Source organism: Homo sapiens, chromosome 9 (genome assembly GCF_000001405.40).
Source record: "Homo sapiens chromosome 9, GRCh38.p14 Primary Assembly".
NCBI lineage: Eukaryota > Metazoa > Chordata > Mammalia > Primates > Hominidae > Homo > Homo sapiens.
The window spans coordinates 133,094,033-133,117,313 of record NC_000009.12 but is presented as its reverse complement, the minus strand read 5'-3'; the positions used below and the strand labels follow the sequence as shown (position 1 = coordinate 133,117,313).

General features: G+C 56.6%; 1 protein-coding gene across 5 annotated transcripts in view, besides 2 other annotated features; it reads left to right on the top strand.

Annotated features, from left to right (window-relative positions):
- The window catches only part of RALGDS (ral guanine nucleotide dissociation stimulator), a 51,489-nt gene extending 31,897 nt beyond the window's left edge, over positions 1 to 19,592 (top strand). For 3 of the 5 annotated variants that reach the window (NM_001042368.3, NM_001271775.2, NM_006266.4), the window contains exons 2-18: positions 5,162 to 5,272; positions 6,825 to 7,018; positions 7,593 to 7,688; positions 8,448 to 8,641; positions 8,908 to 9,326; positions 10,014 to 10,229; positions 10,566 to 10,669; positions 11,298 to 11,382; positions 12,983 to 13,051; positions 13,481 to 13,567; positions 14,052 to 14,084; positions 14,414 to 14,535; positions 14,743 to 14,838; positions 15,175 to 15,376; positions 15,552 to 15,794; positions 16,932 to 17,046; positions 18,552 to 19,592. In NM_001042368.3, the coding sequence (NP_001035827.1) occupies positions 5,162 to 5,272; positions 6,825 to 7,018; positions 7,593 to 7,688; positions 8,448 to 8,641; positions 8,908 to 9,326; positions 10,014 to 10,229; positions 10,566 to 10,669; positions 11,298 to 11,382; positions 12,983 to 13,051; positions 13,481 to 13,567; positions 14,052 to 14,084; positions 14,414 to 14,535; positions 14,743 to 14,838; positions 15,175 to 15,376; positions 15,552 to 15,794; positions 16,932 to 17,046; positions 18,552 to 18,727 (2,562 nt within the window). In that variant the 3' untranslated portion in view covers positions 18,728 to 19,592. The remainder of the gene's footprint in view (positions 1 to 5,161; positions 5,273 to 6,824; positions 7,019 to 7,592; positions 7,689 to 8,447; positions 8,642 to 8,907; positions 9,327 to 10,013; positions 10,230 to 10,565; positions 10,670 to 11,297; positions 11,383 to 12,982; positions 13,052 to 13,480; positions 13,568 to 14,051; positions 14,085 to 14,413; positions 14,536 to 14,742; positions 14,839 to 15,174; positions 15,377 to 15,551; positions 15,795 to 16,931; positions 17,047 to 18,551) is intronic. The other 2 variants (NM_001271774.2, NM_001271776.2) reach the window with 1 other exon arrangement.
- Positions 1,520 to 1,809: an enhancer, noted in NCBI's record as "active region_29228". NCBI's record gives its function as "activates an Ori minimal core promoter by ATAC-STARR-seq in GM12878 lymphoblastoid cells {active_cell/tissue: GM12878}" and the evidence as "EXISTENCE:reporter gene assay evidence [ECO:0000049][PMID:35858748]".
- Positions 14,913 to 16,112: an enhancer, noted in NCBI's record as "CDK7 strongly-dependent group 2 enhancer chr9:135976589-135977788 (GRCh37/hg19 assembly coordinates)". NCBI's record gives its function as "activates an origin of replication core promoter dependent on BRD2, BRD4, P300/CBP, MED14 and CDK7 cofactors, with strong dependence on CDK7, by STARR-seq in HCT116 cells {active_cell/tissue: HCT116}" and the evidence as "EXISTENCE:reporter gene assay evidence [ECO:0000049][PMID:35650434]".
- Positions 19,593 to 23,281: the final 3,689 nt, after the last annotated feature.

The following is a 23,281-nucleotide window of genomic DNA, read 5'->3' as shown; positions in this document are numbered from 1 at the left end:
ACGTGCTCCTGAGCCTCAGTTTCCTCATCTGTAAAATGGACATGATGCCAGCTCTCCTGTTAGGGTTCTGGTGAGGACCCTCGAGTTAGACAAGAGACCTGAGGAGCAGCCTGCACAGCACTTGGCACAGTGGACAGGTAGCAGCTGCCACAATGAGGTTTTCTGATTAGGTGCCAGGGGAGCGGCCTGACCCTTCCAAGTGCCCTGGGCTCCTCGGGTGCGTCACCTGGCACCTTCAGCATGGCACTTCCCTGGCCTGGTGTCTTGTAGGCCTTTTGCCCAGGGCACGTCCACAAACCTCTCGGAGATGCAGGTGCTAGAAAGCTGGCCCTGCCACCCTCCCCTGCGAATTTGCTGTGTGACCTGAGGAAATCCTTCCTGTCTCTGGCCCCTCCTCCACATCTGTGCCACAAGGGGCTGGACTCTGCTCCAAGCCTGAGACCATGGCAGAGGCAGCGCCAGGCCTGGGTGGGTCCCAACAGGCCAGGGTTCAAATCCCTGTTCTGGCTGCCACGTCCTGGCTCCTGACCTGGGCGAGTTCCTCTCAGGCTGTTTCCTTGTCCATCAGGCAGGGCGTTAGGAGGATTAAACGTGATGGGTGTCCAAAGGGCCTTGCACCCAGGAAGTGCCCGCATGTGCTGGGCACTGTAGCTGGTTAAAGTTGGGGCTGCCCTGCACCCCCTTGGGACCAGCCCACCTTCCTCCTCAGCTGCCACCAGCCACGCCCCTCCCGGGCCTGGCCCTGTGTTCACCTGACTGTCAGGGGCTGGGCGTGGACAGGGACCCTGGATGCCCAAGGCTTGCGGCTGACCTGGAGGTCTGGTTCTCCCTCCTCCTGCTTGAGGCACGATTTTCCCATCAGTGAGTAGCAGGGCACAGGCCGGCAGGGAGGGTTTCTGGAGAGATGGGCCGGCCTTTGCGGGGCTCAGCACTGGTTGGTTCCCAGCCTCCACTTTCTGAGGCCAGGGAGCATCCTGGTGGGCAGGCACCGCGTGTCGTCCCGGTCTGAGGCCGCCTCTGTGGGCTGCCATGCCCAGGATCAGGAGTGTGGCCCACCCACACCCCGGGCTGGCCTCCTGTCATCTTGATGCTTTGTCTGTGCGCTGGGGATCAGGGTTGGGTCCACCCACCTGGAGCTGGAGGGCAGGCCCGAGGGCAGGAGGGTCACGGACACGGACACGAGGCCCTTGCGTTCCACCTCCCTTGATGGGGCTCATGGTCCGAGCTCATGACTTGAGAAGTCCTGGGCTCTCACCTCTGGCTCAGCCAGCACACGCCCCACCGGCTCCTGTCCTCGGGCATGGGTCCCCACCTCTGTAGGACGGAGAAGGGCACAGCAGCGTGGGCCCCGCACTGTCGCAGGAGCCTGGGCTCTGTAGAGAGCGAGCAGCCTTCTGTGATGCGTTTTACGTTTGGCTTCTGTATTGGAGCGGAAAGCTGAAGTCAGAAAGCTGCTCCCACCCACTGGGTTTCAGGGTGACTCAGCCTCTCTTTACAGTGTCCCTCGGCTAGGTCCCTGAGCCTTAGGCAGGCCTCAGACAAGTTTCCCTCAGGTTTTTACAGCCCAGCATCCGTCGCCGGCCCCAGGGGGATATGATGTCAGGTGTTGTCCGGTACCACGCCATCAGGTCCCAGTGCCGGTCACCGAGCTGTGTGCATTCTCTCTTGACCCCCACTGTTGCCTGTGACAGGTAGTGCTGCCCTCCCCAGATGACACACCAAGGCCGAGGGCCAGGGGCTGGGCAGAGCCAGCGAGAGACAGGGAGCTGCTGTCTGGTGGGCCAGAACTGTGAGGTGCTGGCAGGGGGGTGGCAAGCACCCCGGGGTGACCTCTGGTGACTGGGACCTGAGCAGCAGCTCAGAGGGGCTTGGGAGGTCCCCCAGGACAATCTCACGCACACGGAGGCTCTGCCGTGAGCCTTTCCACACACAGGCCCGGGGAGGACCAGGGGCGGAGCAGGCCGAGGTGCAGGCTAGAGCCCTCTCCTCACTCCGCTTCAGCCCTCAGCCAGGTCTCCTTGGGAGGGGCCGGTGAGTTCCTGGAGCCATCCATGGGGCAGGGGGCCACTAGCTACGGTTTCCAAGGAAAGGCGTCTGAGTCCGGAGCTGCACCAGAAGGCTGATGCTGGGAGGAGGTGCCGTTGGCCTGAGCGGGGAGATGGCAGGGCTGGGGCAGGCCCCGTAGGGTTCCTCAAGACCCTCACTATTCTACCCAGAGGGAGTCTGGGTTTGGCCTGTGGCTTCCTCCTTCTGTCAGCCAGGGACACGGCATCCTGCTGGCCTGTCACTCTGAGAAGGCTGATCAGGTGACACACTCACCAGACACCACCAGGCCCTGTTTCCCATCCTCATCTTCAGGGCTCTGGGCTGTGTCCCTGGAGACATTGGGGTGTGGGGGCCCCTGCTCACCGGGGACCCCATGCCACCCTCACTGCACTGACCCAAATGTTAGAAGGCCAGACAGTGTGTTTACAGGCACAGCTGCCGACTGGGTCCCAGAGCCCAGGGACATCAGCATGCCTGCTAGGGGTGGGACAGGAGTGTCCCTTGAGGACACAGCCAAGCACGTGGTGTTCTTTTCTCCTCCTAGCAGTCAGCTCATAGCGGCTGCCTGGGCACCTGCCCTCAGGGGAAAGCGTTTTCTCTGCATCAGCTGTTCACTAGGCCGTTCCTGCTCCTCCCGCTCTGAGCTCCCAGCCCGGCCAGAGTGCCCTGGGGCCCAGGCGCTGCCCAGATGGGCTGTCTGCTAACAGAGTGACCTAGGGTGGCCTGTGGGTGCTGGAACCCTGCCTTTCTTGCTGCAGAGGGTTCTGGGGCAGCTGCCAGGGCTGTTGGCTGCTTTCTTTCTCTGTCCTGTGAGGGGGCAAGGGATAGAGGCCTTACTCTGCCACTTTGTTCCCAGACCCCAGGGCAGCTCTCTCTGGAGCCTGCACCTCCACCATCTGAGCAGATGGTTTAAACAGCCCCTGTACTCCACGTAGCTCTATGGTCTGGTTCCATGCCTGCTGCTGCTGTGACGGGAAGCGACCAGAGAAGACAGGCCAGCTCCACGCGGGCTAGAGCGTCTCCCCGACTGTGTGACAGGGTGGCAACTCCCTTACCCCAAGCATGCATGGCTCTCAGTGTTGGGCCTGCATCCTTCCCCACCACCCGGCTGGCAGAAGAGGGCCCCCCGGGGGTGGGGGAAGGGTGCAGGGATCACATGACACCAAGCAGGGCTGGGCCAGCTGCTGGCCTGCCAGCTCACGGAGGAGCCGCTCTCTAGACCTGCTCAGGGACAGCCGAGGCCACCTGGCTTCAGCCCCTCCTGGGGATTGGCCTGCCTGGGGACACCTCTGTCCAGCAGGCACTGATGGTGCTCAGCCAGGACCTGGGTGCTGTGCTGGGCTCCCCCAGGGTTAATGTTTAGTCCCCTGTGGCGGGCTTGTCCTGCACGAGATCTCAGAGCCACTGCCGGTGACTTGGACACTCAGGATACTGTCTGCCTCCCAGCTGGTCCAGATGTGGCTAAAATCCCTGGGAGAGAGAGAGACTCCCAGCTGAGCCAACGGCCTTCACAGGAGGCAGTCTGGGACCCCTGAGGAGGCCCGGGTGGTTGGGGGCCCTGGTCGCTGTAACCTCTAATGCTTTTCTTTTCAAAGGAACAACTTTCTAGGCAGGGGAGAGATGTGTGAGTCAGGAAAAGGGGGGTGAGCGTATGTCTCTTTTCCTGTCAGTGGAAGGGCCAGACCTCCCCTGGCGGGGCTGTTTGTGGGGTGTGGGTGTGAGTGTGCCTGTGGGTTCCCTGCTAACTTCCAAGAAATGGGGCTGGCTCTCTGTCCAGAGGCGGTGGCGGTCAGGAGCCCGGCACAATGCCCGCAGCTTTCCTGTTGTACAAAGCCCAGCGTGGGAGGCGACCTCAGGTCGGAGGAAGTGGACTTCCAGGATGGCTCCTGGGCCTCTGAGGGTGCGCAGGAGGCAGGAGGCCAGGGTCCCGTCCACAGCATGCTGGACAGTCTACCTGGCTCCTGCTGGGGTTGAGGGAAGGGCCTGAGTCAGCACTGTCTGCCAGGCCTTCTCTGAGCTCCACGCCTACCTGGGCTGGGGCACTGACTGGGCGGTTAATGACCCTGGGCCAGGCCAGTACCTCTTAGCTCCTTCCTAACCTCTGAGGTTGATGTCCTTAACCCCCCGGCTCCTCTACCCGCTGCAAGCTCATTCCGTCCCTGGACAGAGCAGGTGGCATAGGGGGCTGTGAGGCCGGGGGTAATTGTGGCTAAGTGACCTAGGCCAGCCTGCCAGGTGGGGGAAGTCTGTCTCCTAAGACAACGGCCTTTCCTTACTGCCTGGGGCCAGATGCCCCCTTCCTGTTCCAGTCTAGGCCTGTGGTTTAGGGCTCTGTGGAACCCCAGCATCTGCCTGGATACCAGCACCGTCACCTCTCACACCCGTCCCCTCACGTGATGATGGTCAGGGAACTGGGAACTCCCATTGCCCAAGCAGGCACGAGGGCATGAATGAGCAGAGGGGAAGGAAGTGGCTGGGATGTGGCTGTCTGGGGTGCCCCACACCTGCCCAGACCTGGGCTGCCAACGCACCAGGGCTGGGCCCAGAGGAGCTGTGCGTTCCTGCTAGGTCAGCCAGGGCCCCCCAGGCTGGGTAGAGGAGGGGTGAGTGTGAGGATGCCCATGGGCCTCTGGCCCTGGGGAGGTAGGGGGACCTTCTCTTGGGGCATAGCCGCCTGGATGCAGTCAGCCGTGTCAGAGCCCTGGGGTCCCTGCCTCACCACTTACCCGAGGCAGCATGACCTTGGACCAGTTGTTCCTCTCTCAGCCTCCATTTACCCATCTGTGCAATGGCTGAATAACAGTCCCCTGTGTGGAAGGGGATGGCTTGAGGGTGGGTCTGTCCTGGGCAGGAGCAGAAGCCAGTTACTAGGGGATTGGAAGCCTGGTGGACTCATCATAATCACGTCCCAGGTCGTGGCTGGCCGGGTTGGGGAAGTGGAGTGCCGGGACAGTGGCTCTCGAGCTGTGATCTCATTCCACCCCAGGCTGTAGGTCTGTGCAGCCGCCAGTCTGTGCCCTATCTGGGAAACAGGTTACACAGGTGCATCCCCTGCACGGTGGCCAGGCAGGCCCTTGACGTCCCCGCGCCCGGCTGCCGGGCGTTGTCTTCACAGAGCTCCACGCAGGAGATCGGTGAGGAGCTGATCAACGGAGTCATCTACTCCATCTCCCTGCGCAAGGTGCAGCTGCACCACGGAGGCAACAAGGGGCAGCGCTGGCTCGGGGTGAGTGCGCTCGGGGTCTCCACTGGGAGACGCAGCTGGGGATCCCTCCCAGGACTTTTTCACTTGAGGGCCCCCAGTTCTGATCCCAAAGGAAACGGCCTTCACTCCCTTCCCGACCCCCACTGTCCAGCCCAGGCTTAATCGGGTTTTCATGTTTGACCTCCCTTCCCCGGGTGTGCAGCCATCAGCCTCACCATCCTCCATGCCTTCTCCCAGATGTGCACACCATCTGGAGTAGTGGGGCTGTCTTCACCCAAGGACAAAAGGGCTTCAGGCTGTTAGGTCTCTGCAAGTTGCCATCTCCCAGAACACATCCCTGGGGTTCCTCCAGGTTGAGAGCCGGGGCCTGACTCAGCTGCATAATATTCCAGAAGGGAGGCTGGAGCCACTGCCCCAGTTCAGCTCCTCATGACTGTGGGGCCACTGTGAGTCCTCTGAGGACACTTCAACAGTGCTGCAGGAGCCAGGCGCAGTGGCTCATGCCTGTAATCCCAGCATTTTGGGAGGCCAAGGCAGGAGGATTGCCTAAGGTCAGGAGTTTGAGACCAGCCTGGCCCACATGGTGAAACCCCATCTCTACTAAAAATACAAAAATTAGCCAAGCATGGTGGTGTGTGCCTGTAATCCCAACTACTTGGGAGGCTGAGACATGAGAATTGCTTCAGCCCAGGAGGCTGAGGTTGCAGTGAGCCGAGATCACACCACTGCACTCTAGCCTGGGTGACTGTCTCAAAACAAAACAAAACAGTGCCACGGGGAAGATGCTGTGCGTCCTAACGGGCCAGTCCCTCCCAGCCCCTGGATAAGCCTCTGTTTCCTCATCTCTAGAATGGGGATATTTTGTTAGAGCTCTCAGATGACGCTCTTCCCACAGGGCAGCTACCATTACTCAGCTAACAACGGACCTGAAGGTGTCAGTATTTAAATCATTCCCGCACCTCAAATTCTACTTTAAAAATTTTTTCACTCTTTTAGAGACAGGGTCTCACTCTGTCACCCAGGCTGCCATGCAGAGGTATGATCATAGCTCACAGCAGCCTTGACCTCCTGGGCTCAAGCGATCTTCTCACCTCAGTTCCCCAGGTAGCTGGGACCACCACACCTGGCTAATTTTGTATTTTTTGTAGAGATGGGGTTTTGCCATGTTGCCCAGGCTGGTCTCAAACTCCTGGGCTCAAGCAATTTGCCCACCTCAGCCTCCCAAAATGCTGGGATGACAGGCGTAAGCTACTATGCCTGGCCCTGGCTAATTTTTAAGTTTTGTAAACAATTTTTTTGTAGAGCTGGGGGATTTCACTTTGTTGCCCAGGCTGGTCTCAAACTCTTGGCTTCAAGTGATGCTCCCACCTTGGCCTCCCAAAGTGCCGGGATGACTGATGTGAGCCACCACACCTGGCCTGAAATTCTACTTTTAAAGCTGATAACCTTTTTCTGCTAGAGATACTCAGTCCTGCCTCTTGCCACAAGCTGCTGAGGGCTCGGGGTTCCATCTGAGCTCCAGGAGATTCGTGTGCTGCCACTGACTGTCTGTCCCTCCTCTGTCCCACCCCAGTATGAGAATGAGTCGGCCCTGAACCTTTATGAGACTTGCAAGGTGCGGACCGTGAAGGCTGGCACGCTGGAGAAGCTGGTGGAGCACCTGGTGCCAGCCTTCCAGGGCAGCGACCTCTCCTACGTCACCATCTTCCTGTGTACCTATAGAGCCTTCACCACCACCCAACAGGTCCTGGACCTGCTGTTCAAAAGGTGAGCATGAGCCCTCCACTGCACAGGGTGCACAGGGGCCCTCGCCCCCACCCCCACCTGGCTGCGGGTCTTGGCAATGCTGATTCACCTCTCTGAGCCTCGCTTTGCTCATATGAAAGAGAAACTGGAGTGCTAAGAGGACCTCATGGGGTTGTCACCATGCCTGGGCGGGATGAGGCGTGGAAAGTGCTCCCTCAACGCCTGGCCCTGTAGGGAATGGGCTGCGGGGCTGTGGTGCTCGTTTTTATGATTTTCCTGTCCCCCATGGGGAAGCTCTCTGCCCCAAGCCTCTCTTGTATGTGGCCTTGGGCGAAGCAGTTTTCCCACTTGTCAAGGAGATTCCGGATTCTATCTGGGGGCTGTTGGAGGGACCCAAGGGGCGCTCAGATAGCTGGGAAGGAGCTGGTTGGGACTTATTCATTGAACAAATATATATGAAGCACCTACTGTGTGCTGGCCCTTTTCTAGGCATTTAATATAATTTGATGAAAAAAAGCAAAAAAAAAAATCCCTGCCCTCCTGGGCCTCCGTTCTAGTCGGAGAGTCAGACAGTAACACTAGACGTCATAAGCAGGTACGGTAGATGTGACGCCCTCACGGCCTCCTCTAGATACGGCTGCATCCTCCCCTATTCCGACGAGGATGGTGGACCCCAGGACCAACTTAAAAAGTGAGTGAGCTTTGAGCCAAGAGGAAGGGACCCTGTCCCCACCGAACAGTGGGAGAGTACATGGGGCTGGGGCCGGAGCCGGGGCTGGCTGGGCAGAACCCTGGCTCCCACACCTCTTGTGGTTCCTGCTAGAGGGCTGGGGTCTGGGGGCTTCGCCTGCAGGAAGAAAGACGACCGAGAGCTGTGGAGGGGTCCTGGGGTGGCTGGGGCTCGGGGCAGCCCCCGGCGGGAACTCATCCCACCATAGCCTCATCCCAGCTGGCCTTGGCTCAGTGGGCCCTGATCTAGGGGCCCCTGGCAAGAGGTGGGGTGAGCCTCTGCTCTCACATTGCCTCACCCCTCAATAGTGAGTGCTCAGTGGGCAGGCTGCACCCCACCCTCTGGGAGAACAGGATTAGTGGGAAGATGAGACCCACACACAGCTCTGAGAGAGTAAGGCAGCTCACCAGCACTGAGCTACAAGTTGAGGAGCCGCCAGGGACCTGCAGATGCCCGGCAGGAGGACCGATCCCTCATGGAGTTTACATTCCAGCGAGGAGGGGGTGCTGGGAGACATGCAGAGCTGTGGGCGGGGCTTCCTTGGAGGAGGGGAGAGGTGTTCGCCACTGACCAGGGGCCTCCTTGGTTCTTTTAGCTGGACAGCCAAGGGGGCTTGGGCCGGGGCAGGTGGCCTTCAGATGGACAGGGGCCGGCTCAGGAGCCCAGCCTGGCTCAGGGGAGCCCAGGCCTCTGACTCTGCTGCCACCCACCTGTCCCCAGTGCCATCTCCTCCATCCTGGGCACCTGGCTGGACCAGTACTCGGAGGATTTCTGTCAACCTCCGGACTTTCCCTGCCTCAAGCAGCTGGTGGCCTACGTGCAGCTCAACATGCCAGGCTCAGACCTGGAGCGCCGTGCCCACCTTCTCCTGGCCCAGCTGGAGCACTCGGAACCCATTGAGGCAGAGCCTGAGGGTGAGGAGGACTGGGGTGGGTGCCAGAGGGTGAATGAGGAGGGGTCGGTGCTGGGCCACACGAAGAGGAGGCTCCAGGGTCTGGTGCTGGGTCAGGGGCCCAGATGAGCCTCAGACCACACAGGCAGGGACCACAGGCAGGAGAGTGGCCTGGTACACGTTTTGTGGGTTCGGGGAGAGAGGCTTCTCTGGAAGCCGGGGCTGTTCTGTGTCTTTGGAAAGGCACAGGAAAGGCTGGCATGTTGTTGAACTTTTCTCCTCTTGCAGCTCTGTCACCAGTGCCAGCTCTAAAACCAACTCCAGAGCTCGAGCTAGCTCTAACACCAGCTCGAGCACCCAGCCCAGTGCCGGCTCCAGCCCCGGAGCCAGAGCCAGCTCCAACACCAGCTCCAGGTTCAGAGCTAGAAGTAGCTCCAGCACCAGCTCCGGAGCTCCAGCAGGCTCCAGAGCCAGCTGTGGGACTAGAATCGGCTCCAGCGCCAGCTCTGGAACTAGAGCCAGCTCCAGAACAGGATCCAGCTCCCTCACAAACTCTAGAGCTGGAGCCAGCTCCAGCACCAGTTCCATCATTACAGCCTTCCTGGCCTTCACCTGTGGTTGCAGAGAACGGGCTGAGTGAGGAGAAGCCTCACCTCTTGGTGTTCCCTCCAGATCTGGTGGCAGAGCAGTTTACACTGATGGATGCGGTGAGCAGCTCAGCTTGGCAGGGCAGGGGTGGGCCTGCCTTCTGGCAGCATCTGCTGTCCCAGACCTACCATTTGCTGATCCAGAGCTGATGTTCTGGTCAAATCCCAGCTCTGCTGCTACACACCAAGTAACCAGGTCGTTCCTTAACCCCAAGTCCTCAGTTTACCTCTGGACAGTAGAGATGAGGTCACCCCTATCCTCCAGAGTGACTGTGCAGATTCTAGATGGAACAGACAGGAAGCTCAGCAGGCCTGGCCTGTGGGAGCGGAGGGTGCTCACCAAGGTGCATCCATGGGTCACCCCCATCTGTTCAGGAGGCTCACCAGCCTCAGCACTCATTAGGCACTTGGTGTGTCCTGGAGCCTATGGCAGACACTGGACAAAGCCCTTAGTTGTAGCGCCCACAGCAGATGTGCGTCTGGATGGGGAGCAGACTGAGGCGGGGGGATGGGGGGTGGGCAGGCGTGAGCCGCCTGTTGGAGCTGGGGCTTGGTGAGGCTGCGCGAGGCGGTGCTCCTCTTCTTCCCACCAGCGTTCTGTCCCGGGTCACTTGTGTGCTGGGCACCCTGCATGGACACGGGATAAAACCCAGAGATCCCCACAAGGCTCAAGCTGCATCCTCAGCTTCCCCAGCACCAGCCCAGACTGCTGGGGCAGGACCAGGTGACATTTAGCCTCCTCCCCAGGAACTGTTCAAGAAGGTGGTGCCCTACCACTGCCTGGGCTCCATCTGGTCCCAGCGGGACAAGAAGGGCAAGGAGCACCTGGCGCCCACCATCCGCGCCACTGTCACCCAGTTCAACAGTGTGGCCAACTGTGTCATCACCACCTGCCTCGGGAACCGAAGCACGAAAGCCCCAGACAGGGCCAGGGTGGTGGAGCACTGGATCGAGGTGGCCAGGGTATGCCAGAGGAGGGGCCTGGGCCCCCACTTTGGCTTCATCTGTTCTCAGGTTGTGGTCTGCAGTCCAAGGCCCTGTACAGGCCCCAGTCTACCCTTCCCAGGGGCATGCTGGCCTTGACTCTCCCAGCCCACTGCCTGGATGCTCACGTCTTCCTTACACTCTTTCCTTGGGTTGAGCTAAAATCCTCCTGTCACCCCCGGGTCGCAGGCGTGCCCTCTGGGGACTCCCTGGGTGTCTGTCTCATTAGGAGGGGAGGCTTGGCCAAGGGGGACTGAGGCCAGGCAAGCTGGGAGCTCCAGCCCCACCTCATGCCTCCTGCTCTTCCCGCCCCAGGAGTGCCGGATCCTCAAGAACTTCTCGTCACTGTATGCCATCCTCTCTGCCCTGCAGAGCAACTCCATCCACCGTCTGAAGAAGACGTGGGAAGACGTTTCCAGGTGGGCATGCCTCTGTAGGAGCTCCTGGTGCACCAGGGACCTCCCACAGGGCTGGCATCACCCCCTTAGTGAGCCCATGGGAGGCCACAAACCCTGAGGGCAGGGACCCTTCACTGACCTGAGTTGGCAGCAGCTCTGCCTCAGAGCTCGGCTTCCTAAGCTGTCAGATGGTGGGTTGAGCCACATCAGAGATTTTCAGGTATTCGTGTTGTAGCCACAGAACCCTCATCCAATTGAAATCAAAACCTTTGTGCCAGGCGCAATGGCTAACGCCTGTAATCCCAGCTACTTGGGAGGCTGAGGCAGGAGAATTTCTTGGACCCAGGAGGTAGAGGTTGCAATGAGTCGACATCTGGCCACTGCACTCCAGCCTGGGTGACTGAAACTGTCTCCAAAAAAAGAAAAAAACCCCTTTGGAAATAGCTGCTCAGTGGAAACGGGAATGGGGTCCTGTTGCACCAACATGAAGGCCCCCTCCCCAGACCTGCAGAGCGTTAGTGCTCTGGGGTACCCTGTGTGCTGCGTTCAGGCAGTCTGGGGTCTTTCAGCTCTAAAATAAAACGGATTTGCACTCACACCCCTCCCTACCATTCCCAGCTTTCTCTTTCCTTCTTTGCCCTTCTGACAGGGACAGTTTCCGGATCTTTCAGAAGCTGTCAGAGATCTTCTCAGATGAGAACAACTACTCATTGAGCCGGGAGCTGCTCATCAAGGTGGAGTGGCGGCAGGCTGGGGCGGGGGCTGGGGCGGGGGCTGGGGCGGGGGCTGGGGCGGGGGCTGGGGCTGGGGCGGGGGCTGGGGCGGGGGCTGGGGCGGGGGCTGGGGCGGCGGGCGGTGGCATTCGCTTCTTGCTGGGAAAGTTCCTTTCCCGTGTGCGTGAAGGGGGAAGAGGGATCTGTTTGGCCCCTGGGTGTTTGAGGGACAGGGCCCCAGTTAATTGGACACAGTAAGGGTAGCAGTGGAGGTTCCAGGAGGAGTAGATGGGCATCAGGACCAGCAGGCCTCTGGCTTCCTCGCCGGTCCCTCCTGCTGGGTGGGAAGGGGATGCGGCTCCTGCCCCCACACCGGCCCAGTCTGTCCCCGGGAGGCCAGGCTCCTGACGCTACCTCTGTCTGCTCTACACACCCAAGGAGAGGGCAGCCTGCCTACCCCAGGGACAGGAGCTGCAGGGGATGCCAGGGGCCAGGTGGCCAGACCTGGGAGGCAGATTTGGAGGCCCCATGTGGCTTCCCTACCCTGCCCCGAGAAGAGACACTGACCAGAGAACCCTGTAGAATTCTTCCCATGGCACCCCATTAGCTGTGGCGGATACCCCAGATGACTGAGGAGAACTTTCAGTGACTAATGGATTCACGAGGCCTCAGAGGGAGTCAAGTGTCACTGCCTGGTGCCCCTGGCATACCCGGTCAGTGAAATGGCATCTAGGGCCCCCCTCCTGCGTGGACACACACAGAGTTCCCTACAGGGGAGCATCGCAGGGGGCTCCTGGGACACCTGTCCCTCTCCCTCCGTGGCACAGCTCCACTGGGGGCCCTGGCATGCACGAGAAGCCCAGAGGACGGTACCCTGATCAGTGACCAAACGGGTAAAGGCAGATGGGGCAGAGCCTCTGGCTAGGACAGAAGAGCCTGTTCTGAGTCCCTGGGGGGCCCAGGGCAAGTCACTGCCCATCTCAGGGCCATAGTTTCCTCATCTAGAAAATGGAGGAATGCCAGCCCTGGGGTGCTGACCTTATGGAAGGTTCAAGGGAGAAAGGAGTGTGCAGCCATAACAGGACTGTAGCGCAGAGTCTCTGAGGCCCTGCGAGGCAGGTGGAGTTTTTTTATTTGTTTAGAGAAGGAGTCTCGCTCTGTCTCCCAGGCTGGAGTGCAATGGCGTGATCTCGGCTCACTGCAATCCCCACCTCCTGGGTTCAAGGGATTCTCCTGCCTCAGCTTCCCAAGTAGCTGGGATTATAGGTGTGCACCACCAACCCAGGTAATTTTTGTATTTTTTAGTAGAGATGGGGTTTCACTGTGTTGGCCAGGCTGGTCTTAAACTCCTGACCTCAAGTGATCCACCTGCCTTGGCCTTCCAAAATGCTGGGATTACAGGCGTGAGCCACCGCACCATGCAGCAGGCGGAGTTCTCATCCGCACTTTCCAGAGGGGGAGGCAGGCTCAGGAAGGCCAGGCCACCGGCCCAGGACCCCACACTAGTGAGTATTGATACAGGGTCAGCCCTGGAACCCGACCACACTGGCAGCACCCCAGGTCAGGGTGCCTGAGGGCTGAGGGGATAGGGCCTTGCTGACCCTGTCCTCTACCCTGGCAGGAGGGCACCTCCAAGTTTGCCACCCTGGAGATGAACCCCAAGAGAGCCCAGAAACGGCCGAAGGAGACGGTGAGAGTGCCCAAGGCCGCGGAGGGGCAGGGGGCTGGCCTGGGGGTAGGGAGGAGGGCCCTTTCCTCTCTAGCCACGGTGCCTATGGGCCCCATTAGAGGTAGCCTCCTCTGGACCCTAGCAGAGCCACACCTGGATCAGCTGGTATCTGGGAAGACCAGCTGCAGCCACGAAAGGACAGGCCTGGCAGAGCCGGCTCAGGCGGGTGTGGGGCTGGGGAGGGCCAGGGGCCACACGACTTGGGAACCTGGCATTTCCCAGATGCCAGCCAGGGAGATGGCTAGAGGGAGTCTGGGGTCCAGGGAGACAGTGGGCCCCAGGAGGCCCCCAGAGGTCCCCCAGCTGTTCCAAGTGAGACCAGTTGGGGCTGGGGGCTGAGAAAGCCTTCAGGGGAGGGGCCTTGCTCATCCTCCTACCCCAATGTCACAGGGCATCATCCAGGGCACCGTTCCCTACCTGGGCACGTTCCTCACCGACCTGGTGATGCTGGACACTGCCATGAAGGACTATCTGTATGTGAGTGTGCCGGGCGGGGCTGGAGTAGGGCCCGGGAGGAGAGACCTTCCCTGAGCCCTGGGGGCTGGGCTGCCACACCTGTCCCAGCAATGAGTAAACAGCTCAGTGCCCTGCTGGTGACACCCCAGGGCTGCCCAAACACAGAGCTGCAGCAGGGTTTGGCTGAGTGGGACACAGCCCATCCCTCAGGCAGTGACCCTGAGCACAGAGGGAAGCCAGGCCCTCAGCGGTCAGGCGGCACGTGGTGGCTGAGCAGGGCCTTCTCACCCAAGGCCTCAGTCCATTGTCCTCCGAGAGTGCTGGACAAGAAGTCCCCAAGCCTCTGCCCGCATGTCCCCTTGCCCTGGTGCCCAGCACCGGCTTCAATCCAGGGGTGTGCGTGCCCTGCCCCCTGGTGGGCACTCTTGATAGTGCAGCATGAGGTGGGGAGACTGTAATGGTCAAGGGGTCACTTTCTGACGGCCATTGGGTGTCCACCTTCCAGGGCAGACTCATCAACTTTGAGAAGAGGAGGAAGGTAAGCAGCTGCAGGCAGCCCTGACTTGGGGAGGGGTGGAAAACAGACCCACCAGGGTAGGACATTTCAACTCCTACCCTCTCCTTAGATTCATGGGACATGGGACATTTGGACACAGAGAGAAGGGGGTCCCCTCCCACTGGAGGGTGAGGGTAGGAGGTTATAATCCAGGACCACCTCCTGGGGAGTGGCTGAGCCCAACTTTGAGAACAGGAAGGCCTGGATGGGAGTAGAGGGGAGGAAGGGACCCCAAGAACAAAGACCCAGAGACTGGCCCCTGTGCTGCCCGGGGGGCCTTGTCACCGCCCTGTGCTTCCCTCTGGCCCCAGGAGTTCGAGGTGATCGCCCAGATCAAGCTGCTGCAGTCGGCCTGCAACAACTACAGCATCGCGCCAGATGAGCAATTTGGGGCCTGGTTCCGGGCCGTGGAGCGGCTCAGCGAGACTGAGAGGTGAGGCCGGGGCAGCAAATGGGGACAGTGGGGGCAGGCTGTCCTAGGGGGCCAGCTCCAGAGGGCCAGCAGCTATGACCCATGGTCAGCCTCAGCCCCTGTTGCCTGAGGATGGCCGGGGCACCCCGACTCCAGCTTCTGGGCAGGTGCTGGGGGAAGGCCGGAGCATGGCCCCTGGTTGTCACACCACTGCCCCTCTGCTCATAGCTACAACCTGTCGTGCGAGCTGGAGCCCCCATCCGAGTCAGCCAGCAACACCCTCAGGACCAAGAAGAACACAGCCATTGTCAAGCGCTGGAGCGAGTAAGGGCCTGGCCAAGGGTGGTAGGGGCAGCTGCCTTGGGGCTCAGAAGCTTCAGGGCTGAGCCTGGGCTCAGGGAGTCAGGGAGGCTGGCCCTGGAATCCTACCCTGCTGCTGACTGGCCCTGAGACTGGGATGAGTCCCCTCACCTTTTTGGGCCTCAGTTTCCTCCTCTGTGAAATGGGGTGATACTAAATGCTCTCCCAGATGGCTGTGGTGAATGGAGTACTGGCAACTGTCCCAGCACTTTGCACAGTCCTTGGGCGCAGGGTGCAGGGGCTGTGGGGTTGGGATGTGTCCTTGGGGAGCCCCCTTAACTAAGCCAACTCTTCACCCAGCCGCCAGGCCCCCAGCACTGAGCTCAGTACCAGTGGCAGCTCCCACTCCAAGTCCTGTGACCAGCTCAGGTGTGGCCCCTACCTCAGCAGCGGGGACATCGCTGACGCGCTCAGCGTGCACTCGGCCGGCTCCTCTAGCTCCGACGTGGAGGAGATCAACATCAGCTTCGTCCCGGAGTCTCCTGATGGCCAGGAAAAGAAGGTGACTGCCTGCCCTTCTCCCCAATATCCTTTCCCATCTCCCCACTCCAAATCCATGCATGGGGCCAGGAAGCCCTGGATCCTGAACACAGCTTCTAGAAGGTTCCCCATCTGGCAGCTGGCCTGGGGTGCCCCCACAGGGCAGTGGGATCTGCTGATCTTACCGTCTCCCTCAGTTCTGGGAATCAGCCTCACAGTCATCCCCGGAGACCTCCGGCATCAGCTCAGCCTCCAGCAGCACCTCGTCCTCCTCAGCCTCCACCACGCCCGTGGCTGCCACACGCACCCACAAGCGCTCTGTCTCAGGGCTCTGCAACTCCAGCTCCGCGCTGCCGCTCTACAACCAGCAGGTGGGCGACTGCTGTATCATCCGCGTCAGCCTGGACGTGGACAATGGCAACATGTACAAGAGCATCCTGGTAAGCCGGCGGGGGTGGCCTGGGTGCCTCCCTCCACTGGCGGCAAATGCACCCTGAACACAGTGCACCATCCCTGCCCTCCCGGGGTCTACCTTGTAGTTGGCGGGGAAGGACAGATGTCAGCCAGGTACAGAAATGAAGAAGGTAGTGATCAGGGACAAGGCTGGCCTGAGGGCAGAGGGGGAGGAAAGGAGCAGCCGTGCAAAGCCCCCAGGAGCTGAAGGGGCGGTGCTGTAGGGGAGGTGAGGTCAGGGAAGTATCCAGGGCCTGGCCACATAGGCCCTGAGCCCTGCCAGGACCTCGACTTTCTCGGGGAGGAAGACAGGAGCAATGATGGCTGGCTTCTCTGTCTGGTGTGGGCTGGTACCAGAGCCGCAGGGGTGTTGGTTAGGAGGCCGCTGTGGCAACCAGGCTGGGAGCCCTGGAAGGGGCCAGCAGGGTCAGAGTCTAGACAGGATTTGGAGACAGCAGATGGGAATTGCTCACAGAATGGGTTTGCCTGGGGGCTCTTTCTTCATCCTCCAGGTGTCCTGCGACAGATGAACCATTTGTAACCCCCACCCTCTGTACCCCAGCCCTGGGTCAGGTGCCCCATTATTCACACACGCTCCTGACCCCTCATTGCCAGGAGCTAGCATGGTTGTCATTAAGCAGTCACCTGTGGCCCTATGTCCGAGTTCCGCCTGTGCTCTGGCCCTCAGGGTCAAGGTAGCAGGGGCCTGGCCTATGCTGACCACACTGAGCATCCTGGCCGGCCCCTCCTTTCTTACCTCCAGGGCTTGGACTAGGGACTGTCTGTTCCCCAGGCTCAGTGATGCTGTTATCCTGGAGGGGCAAGTGCTTCTCAAGGAAGTGTGGGAGGAGGGAACAGTCTCTTACAGGAGAAGCAGGGTAGGCACTGCTGGGACAGACCCCTCCTCATTCCATGGAGGCCTCACATGGGGAACAGAAGGACGGAGGCCTCACTTGGGGAGTAGGAGAATGTGACAAGGCCCTCTCCGGACCCAGCACCTGGCCAGAGGCTGTGAGTGCCTGTGCTTGGTGCTGAGGGGACTCCAGAGGGTCCTTGGCCACTGCACTCTGGGGGAGCCGCTCCAGGGTCTTTTCCCTGATGGTCCATCCCCCGCCGCGATGCAGGTGACCAGCCAAGATAAGGCTCCGGCTGTAATCCGCAAGGCCATGGACAAACACAACCTGGAGGAGGAGGAGCCGGAGGACTATGAGCTGCTGCAGATTCTCTCAGATGACCGGAGTAAGTCAGAAGACCAGAGGGCGATGGCAGAGGGGGCAGGTCCACACCACTCCCCAGCCCCAGGTTGGAAGCCTTTGGCCCCAGAAAATTCACCAGCAGAGTGTGGGTAGACACTGTGGACAGGGCAGCCCTGGCTGCCCCCATTGTCTGCTTGCTGTCCCCAGCAACCACTGGACCTCCCCAGTGTGTGCCCTTCCCTAGGCGTGAACAGGCAGTTCAAAGCTCACATCAGTGAGGAGCAAAGAGAAAAGGCATTTTTCACTGGGACAGGTTAGCCACGTGGCCCACTGGAAGGGACTCTTTCTGGCTAAGACAAGAAAACATGTGCTCTACAAAGAATGGTGACAGCTGTGGACCAAAGTGTCAAGTGTTAAAATCCATGAGTGTGTGATTCTAAAAGCAGAACAGGCTACTAGGAGGCCAACTCAGTATTCTAGAAACTGGGAAAGTGTCAAGAACCAGTGCAGGCTCAGAGTGGGGTATCCTGGGCCTGGAGACGCTGGGCAAGCTCCTTAAGCCCTCTGTGCTTGTCTTCTCATCCCCCAAATGGAAATGAAAGTAGCCAGTGTGTTCATCATATATGTAAAAATCTATATGTATGTATATATGTGTATATGTATGTATATATGTGTATATATATGCATGTATATGTGTGTGTATATATATGCATGTATATGTGTGTGTATATATATGCATGTATATATAAAGCATCTATGTGCACCATAAAAGTTAACTATAAATACTATCATCGCTGTTTTCTTTCCAGTGAGCTGAACACCACCTCCCACCATTAGCCCAGACAGTAAGCAATGACTCCTGTGATCCCTAGAAGTTACAGTCTAAATCCTCTGGCAGCTTCTTGCACCATTTCGGTTAGGTGGGCAGGGTAGGCGGGACCCCCATCTTACAGAAAAGGAAGACTGAGGCCTAGAGAGGTTAAAGATGACGAAAAGCCACACGATGTCGGCAGGAGCACAAATCGAGCCCAGCTCTGGTTTATAGCAGGCTGTGGGCCAGAGGAGATGGTGGGAAATGGAGCCAAAAGGAAGTGCTTGCCGGGTGCCAGGGTTCAAGGAGTACAGGCCTCCCTGGAACGGGCGCCAGAGCCCTGGGGCAGGCCTGTCCTTTCCTGGTCCTTGGATCCCTTGTCCTGAGTAGGGCAGGATTCTGGGAGGTGACCTGGATTCTAGAAAGCCTGTTCCAGGTGGGCAGCCAGCACTGCAGTATGGGCAGGACGGGGTGACCCTCTGCCAGCTCAGGCCAAGCCGGGGGGTTCTGGAGTCAGTCCCTGTTTAAACAAGAGTCATCAGGTTTTGTGAGGACCTCAGCAGAGTCTGTCCTCAGGCAGGAGTCATTGAGAGGGGTCCTTGGAGTTCTGGAGCTGTATTGGAGGGGATCTGAGGTCTGTGGCTCAAGACAGTCCTTGTATGGGCTCTCAAGCGGTAGGGGTATCCTGCAGGGCCCCCAGGAGCATCCCTGATCACCCCTCTGCCCCTCCCCACCAGAGCTGAAGATCCCTGAAAACGCCAACGTCTTCTATGCCATGAACTCTACCGCCAACTATGACTTTGTCCTCAAGAAGCGGACCTTCACCAAGGGAGTGAAGGTCAAGCACGGAGCCAGCTCCACCCTCCCTCGCATGAAGCAGAAAGGACTCAAGATTGCCAAGGGCATCTTCTGAGGGCATCCTCCCAGGGTCTGGCTGGCTGGTAGCCAAGCACTTATGGACCAGAGTGGCCCAGGCCAGCTGGGCGCCTTCCTCCCACCTGCCAGCCCAGGGTACCCCAGACTCCAGTTTCATCCTGAACCTCTCCCGCTGCTGGGATTGACGCCTGCCATTGGTCAGGCTGACCTGGCCTCCCGTGGACCACTCGCTGCCTTAGGTGCCTTCTGCTCTCTGGAACCAGAGGACTAGCTGACTTTTGCCAAGGAGCAGTGCCAACGGGCATGGCATGGTGCCCTGCCTGCCCCCGGGCGCCACCTCTGTACACTTCCCTGACACCTTCCCAGGTGTGGGTCACTGCCACCTGTGCCCATGGGCACCCCAGAGCACCCACTGTGACCACTGCAGTTCTCTCATGCCCACAGGCACTGGCCTGTGACCTTCGCAGGGGTCCCGGCCCCTCCCACCACTCTAGCCTTTCTCAGGCTGCACCAAAGATTCCATCATCAGGGCCAACTGAGAGTGAGGGAGTCTCACCCACCGCTTACCCCAGCCCTCCCCTGGGAGCAGAGAGAGAAACCCTCTTCATGGACCAGACTCTGCACCCGGTGAGTGAGGACAGTCCCAGCTGAGTCCCATCGATGTTGAATCTCATGCCACTGCAAGTGCCATTCACCACTGCGTCCTGGGCTTTACGAGACCATGCAAGACGGGGGTTAGTGAGGAAGGAGGATTTGGGGTGGGGGTGGGGTGATTGAATATTTGTATAAAAAGCAAAAAGAAAAAAAAAATGTTTGTTTACTGATTGGGGAGGGGCAATATTTATTTGTTGTAAATAGCAAATGCTAGACTTGAATATTATATTAAAATCCTGTTTCTACTATACCCTGGTCATTACAGTTTTGTTCTTTCATTACCTGTCTTAATTAAAATGAGATAGAGACTCTCACATTCCGTGTTTAAGTAAGGACCCTTGCAGGGTTATCCAGTTATTTTATGCACAGGAAAAGCCAGCCACTCTTCTCAGCACACTGAAGGAAACACAAAAGTTTACCTTTCATACAGCAGATGTTCCTTTTGGCACCATTAAACTGGGAAATGTGCTGAGACAGCCCTCAGAACTCCTGGGACTAGAGTTTGGAGGTACTTTCACAAGGCATAGCAAGAATTTCTGAAATTTAGCTGTCTTTAAAAGTAACATTTGTGGCCAGGCGTGGTGGCTCATGCCTGTAATCCCAGCACTTTGGGAGGCCAAGGCAGGTGGATCATGAGGTCAGGAGATCGAGACCATCCTGGCTAACATGGTGAAACCCCATCTCTACTAAAAATAAAAAAAATTAGCCAGGCATGGTGCCAGGCACCTTTAATCCCAGCTATTCGGGAGGCTGACGCAAGAGAATCGCTTGAACCTGGGAGGCGGAGGTTGCAGGGAGCTGAGATCACGCCACTGTCCTCCAGCCCGGGCAACAGTGTGAGACTCTGTCTCAAAAAATAATAATAATAAAGTAACATTTGTGACAAAAGATGGCAGAGTAGGAGGCCCCAGGGTTCAGTTTTTGCACAGAAACAACGATTAAGCTGGAAGAAAGAAAACTATCAGAATAAACTGTTTTGGGACTCTGGAACCTGGTCGGACATAGTCACCAGGGGAACACTTGGTGAAGGGAGATGCTGCTGAACTCCAACAGTTAACAGGATCTCCATCAAGTCACAGGCTGACCAAGAGACAACAGAACAGAAACTTCGTGACTATACACAACAAGGAATACAAATATAAGCCTGGCAAAAATACGAATATAAGCCTGGAAAAGTCACTATGGACACAGAAGACTGCATCCTTCAATAAGCAAAAAAGCAATTCCTGAGGAGGGAGACAATCTGATTTCCAGAGTCACTGCATTATAATACTCAATGTTCAGTTCTCAAAAAATTACAAAGAAACAAAAATATGGCTCATTCACAGGGGAAAAGAGGATTTAACAGAAGCTATCCTTGAGGAAGCTCAGACATTAAAATTACTAGTCAGAGACATTAAATCACTTGTCCTAAATATGCTTGATGAGCTAAAGGAAACCATGGAAAATAATGTATGAGCAAATGGGTGATTAGCAATAAAGGGATAGAAATTATAAAAACCAACCAGAAGCTCCGGAGCTGAAAAGTATAACTGAGAAGAAAAATGTACTAGAGAGATTCAACAGCAGATTTAAGCAGGCAGAAGAAAGAATCAGTGTACTGGAAGATAAGGCAATAGAGATTATTCTGTCCAGGGAACAGAAAGAAAAAGGAAGAAAAATGAACAGAACTAGAGGTTCTTGTAGGACACCATTAAATGTACCAACATACATTTAATGAGAGTTCAGAAAAGGCAGAGATTATTTGAATAATGGTCCAGAACGTCCCAAATTTGATGAAAGACATAAATCTCCATATCCAAGAAGCTCAATGAGTTTCAAACAGGATAAACTCAGATCCATACCCAAATTTATTAGTCAAATTGTCAAAAGACAGAAAATCTTGAAAGCAGCAAGAAGAGATTCATCATATACAAGAGATCCTCAGGATTAACAGCTGATTTCTCATCAGAAACCATGGAGTCTAGAAGGTAATAGGATGACATATTTAAAGTGCTGAAAGAAGGCTGAGCATGGTGGCTCACACCTGTAATCCCAGCACTTTGGGAGGCCGTGGTGGACAGATCATCTGAAGTCAGGAGTTCGAGACCAAACTGGCCAACATGGTGAAACCTTGTCTCTACTAAAAATACAAAAATTAGCCAGGCATGGTGGCACATACCTATAGTCCCAACTATTTGGAGGCTGAGCCAGGAGAATCGCTTGAACCCGGGAGACGGAGGTTGCAGTGAGCCAAGATCGCACCACTGCCCTCCAGCCTGAGCGACAGAGCAAGACTCCGTCTCAAAAAATATTCTCAAAATAAAGTGCTGAAAGAAGAAGCAAAACATCCTTTAAGGATGAAGGAGAAATTAAGACATTCTCAGATAAAAGTTAAGGGAGTTTTATTAGTAGACCTGCCCTACAATAAATGGTAAAGGGAGTCCTTCCAGCTAAAATAAACACTAGACAGTAACTTGAAGCCATATGAAAAACTAAAGAACACTGGTAGAGATAACTAACAGGTAGTTAGCAAAGCCAGTGTTATTTCACTTTGGATTTGTGTAACTCATCCTTTTTTCTTATGATTTAAAGGTAAAATTCATAAAGCTATAAATCCACATTAATGGAAACAATGTATAAAGATATAATCTGTGACTGACAGAGGGAAGATGTGTAATAGCAGTGTATACTACTTAAATTCAATTGGTATTATTGAAACTAGATTGTTATATGTTTAAGATGTTACTTGTAATACCAAAAGTAACCAGTAAGAAAATAACTAAAAAGTATATAGGAAAGCAAAGAAAGGATCAAAATTGTACAAAAGTAAATCCGTAAAAAGCAGTAGTGGAGGAATTGAGGAATGAAAATCATAAGACATACAGAAAACAAACAGCTAAATGGCAGAAGTAAAGGTTTTCTCATTAATTACTATAAATACAAATGGGTTAAGTTCTCCAATTAAAAAGCAGAGATTGGGCCAGATGCAGTGGCTTACACCTGTAATCCCAGCACTTTGGGAGGCTGAGGTTGGAGATGGCTTGAGCCCCGGAGTTTGAGACCAGCATGGGCAACACGGTGAGATTCTATCTCTACAGAAAAATTTTAAAATTAGCCAGGCATGGTGATGTGCATCTGTGGTCCCAGCTCTCAAGAGGCTGATGTGGGAAGATCGCTTAAGCCCGGGAGGTCAAGGCTGTAGTGAGCTGTGATCCTGCCAATGCACTCCAGCCTGGACAACAGAGCAAGAGCAAGACCCTGTCTCAGGAAAAAAAAAAAAAAAAAAAAAAAAAAAAAGATGGGCAGAATGGATTTTTTTAGAACTTTGTCTATCTATATGCTGTATAGACTTTTTTTTTTTTGAGATGGTGTTTCACTCTTCACCCACGCTGGAGTGAAGTGGCACGATCTTGGCTCACTGCCACTTGACCCCTGGGCAAGTCTCCCAAGTAGCTGGGATTATAGGCACCCACTATCACACCCAGCTAATTTTGTATTTTTAGTAGAGACAGGGTTTTGCCACGTTGGCCAGGCTGGTCTCAAACTCCTGACCTCAGGTGACCTGTCCGCCTTGGCCTCCCAAAGTGCTAGGATTACAGGTGTGAGCCACTATGCCCAGCCTGTAGAGACAAATTTTATTTTATTTTGAGGTGGAATCTCACTCTGTCGCTTAGGCTGGAGTGCAGTGATGCAATCTCAGCTCACTGCAAACTCCACCTCCCAGGTTCAAGCAATTGTCCTGCCTCAGCCTCCTGAGTAGCTGGGATTACAGGTGTCTACCACCACACCTGGCTAATTTTTTTGTGTGTTTTTGGTAGAGACAGGGTTTTACCATATTGGCCAGGCTGGTTTTGAACTCCTGACCTCAAGTGACCCACCCACTTTGGCCTCCCAAAGTGCTAGGATTACAGGCGTGAGCTACTGCACCCGGCTGAGACAAATTTTGAATACAAAG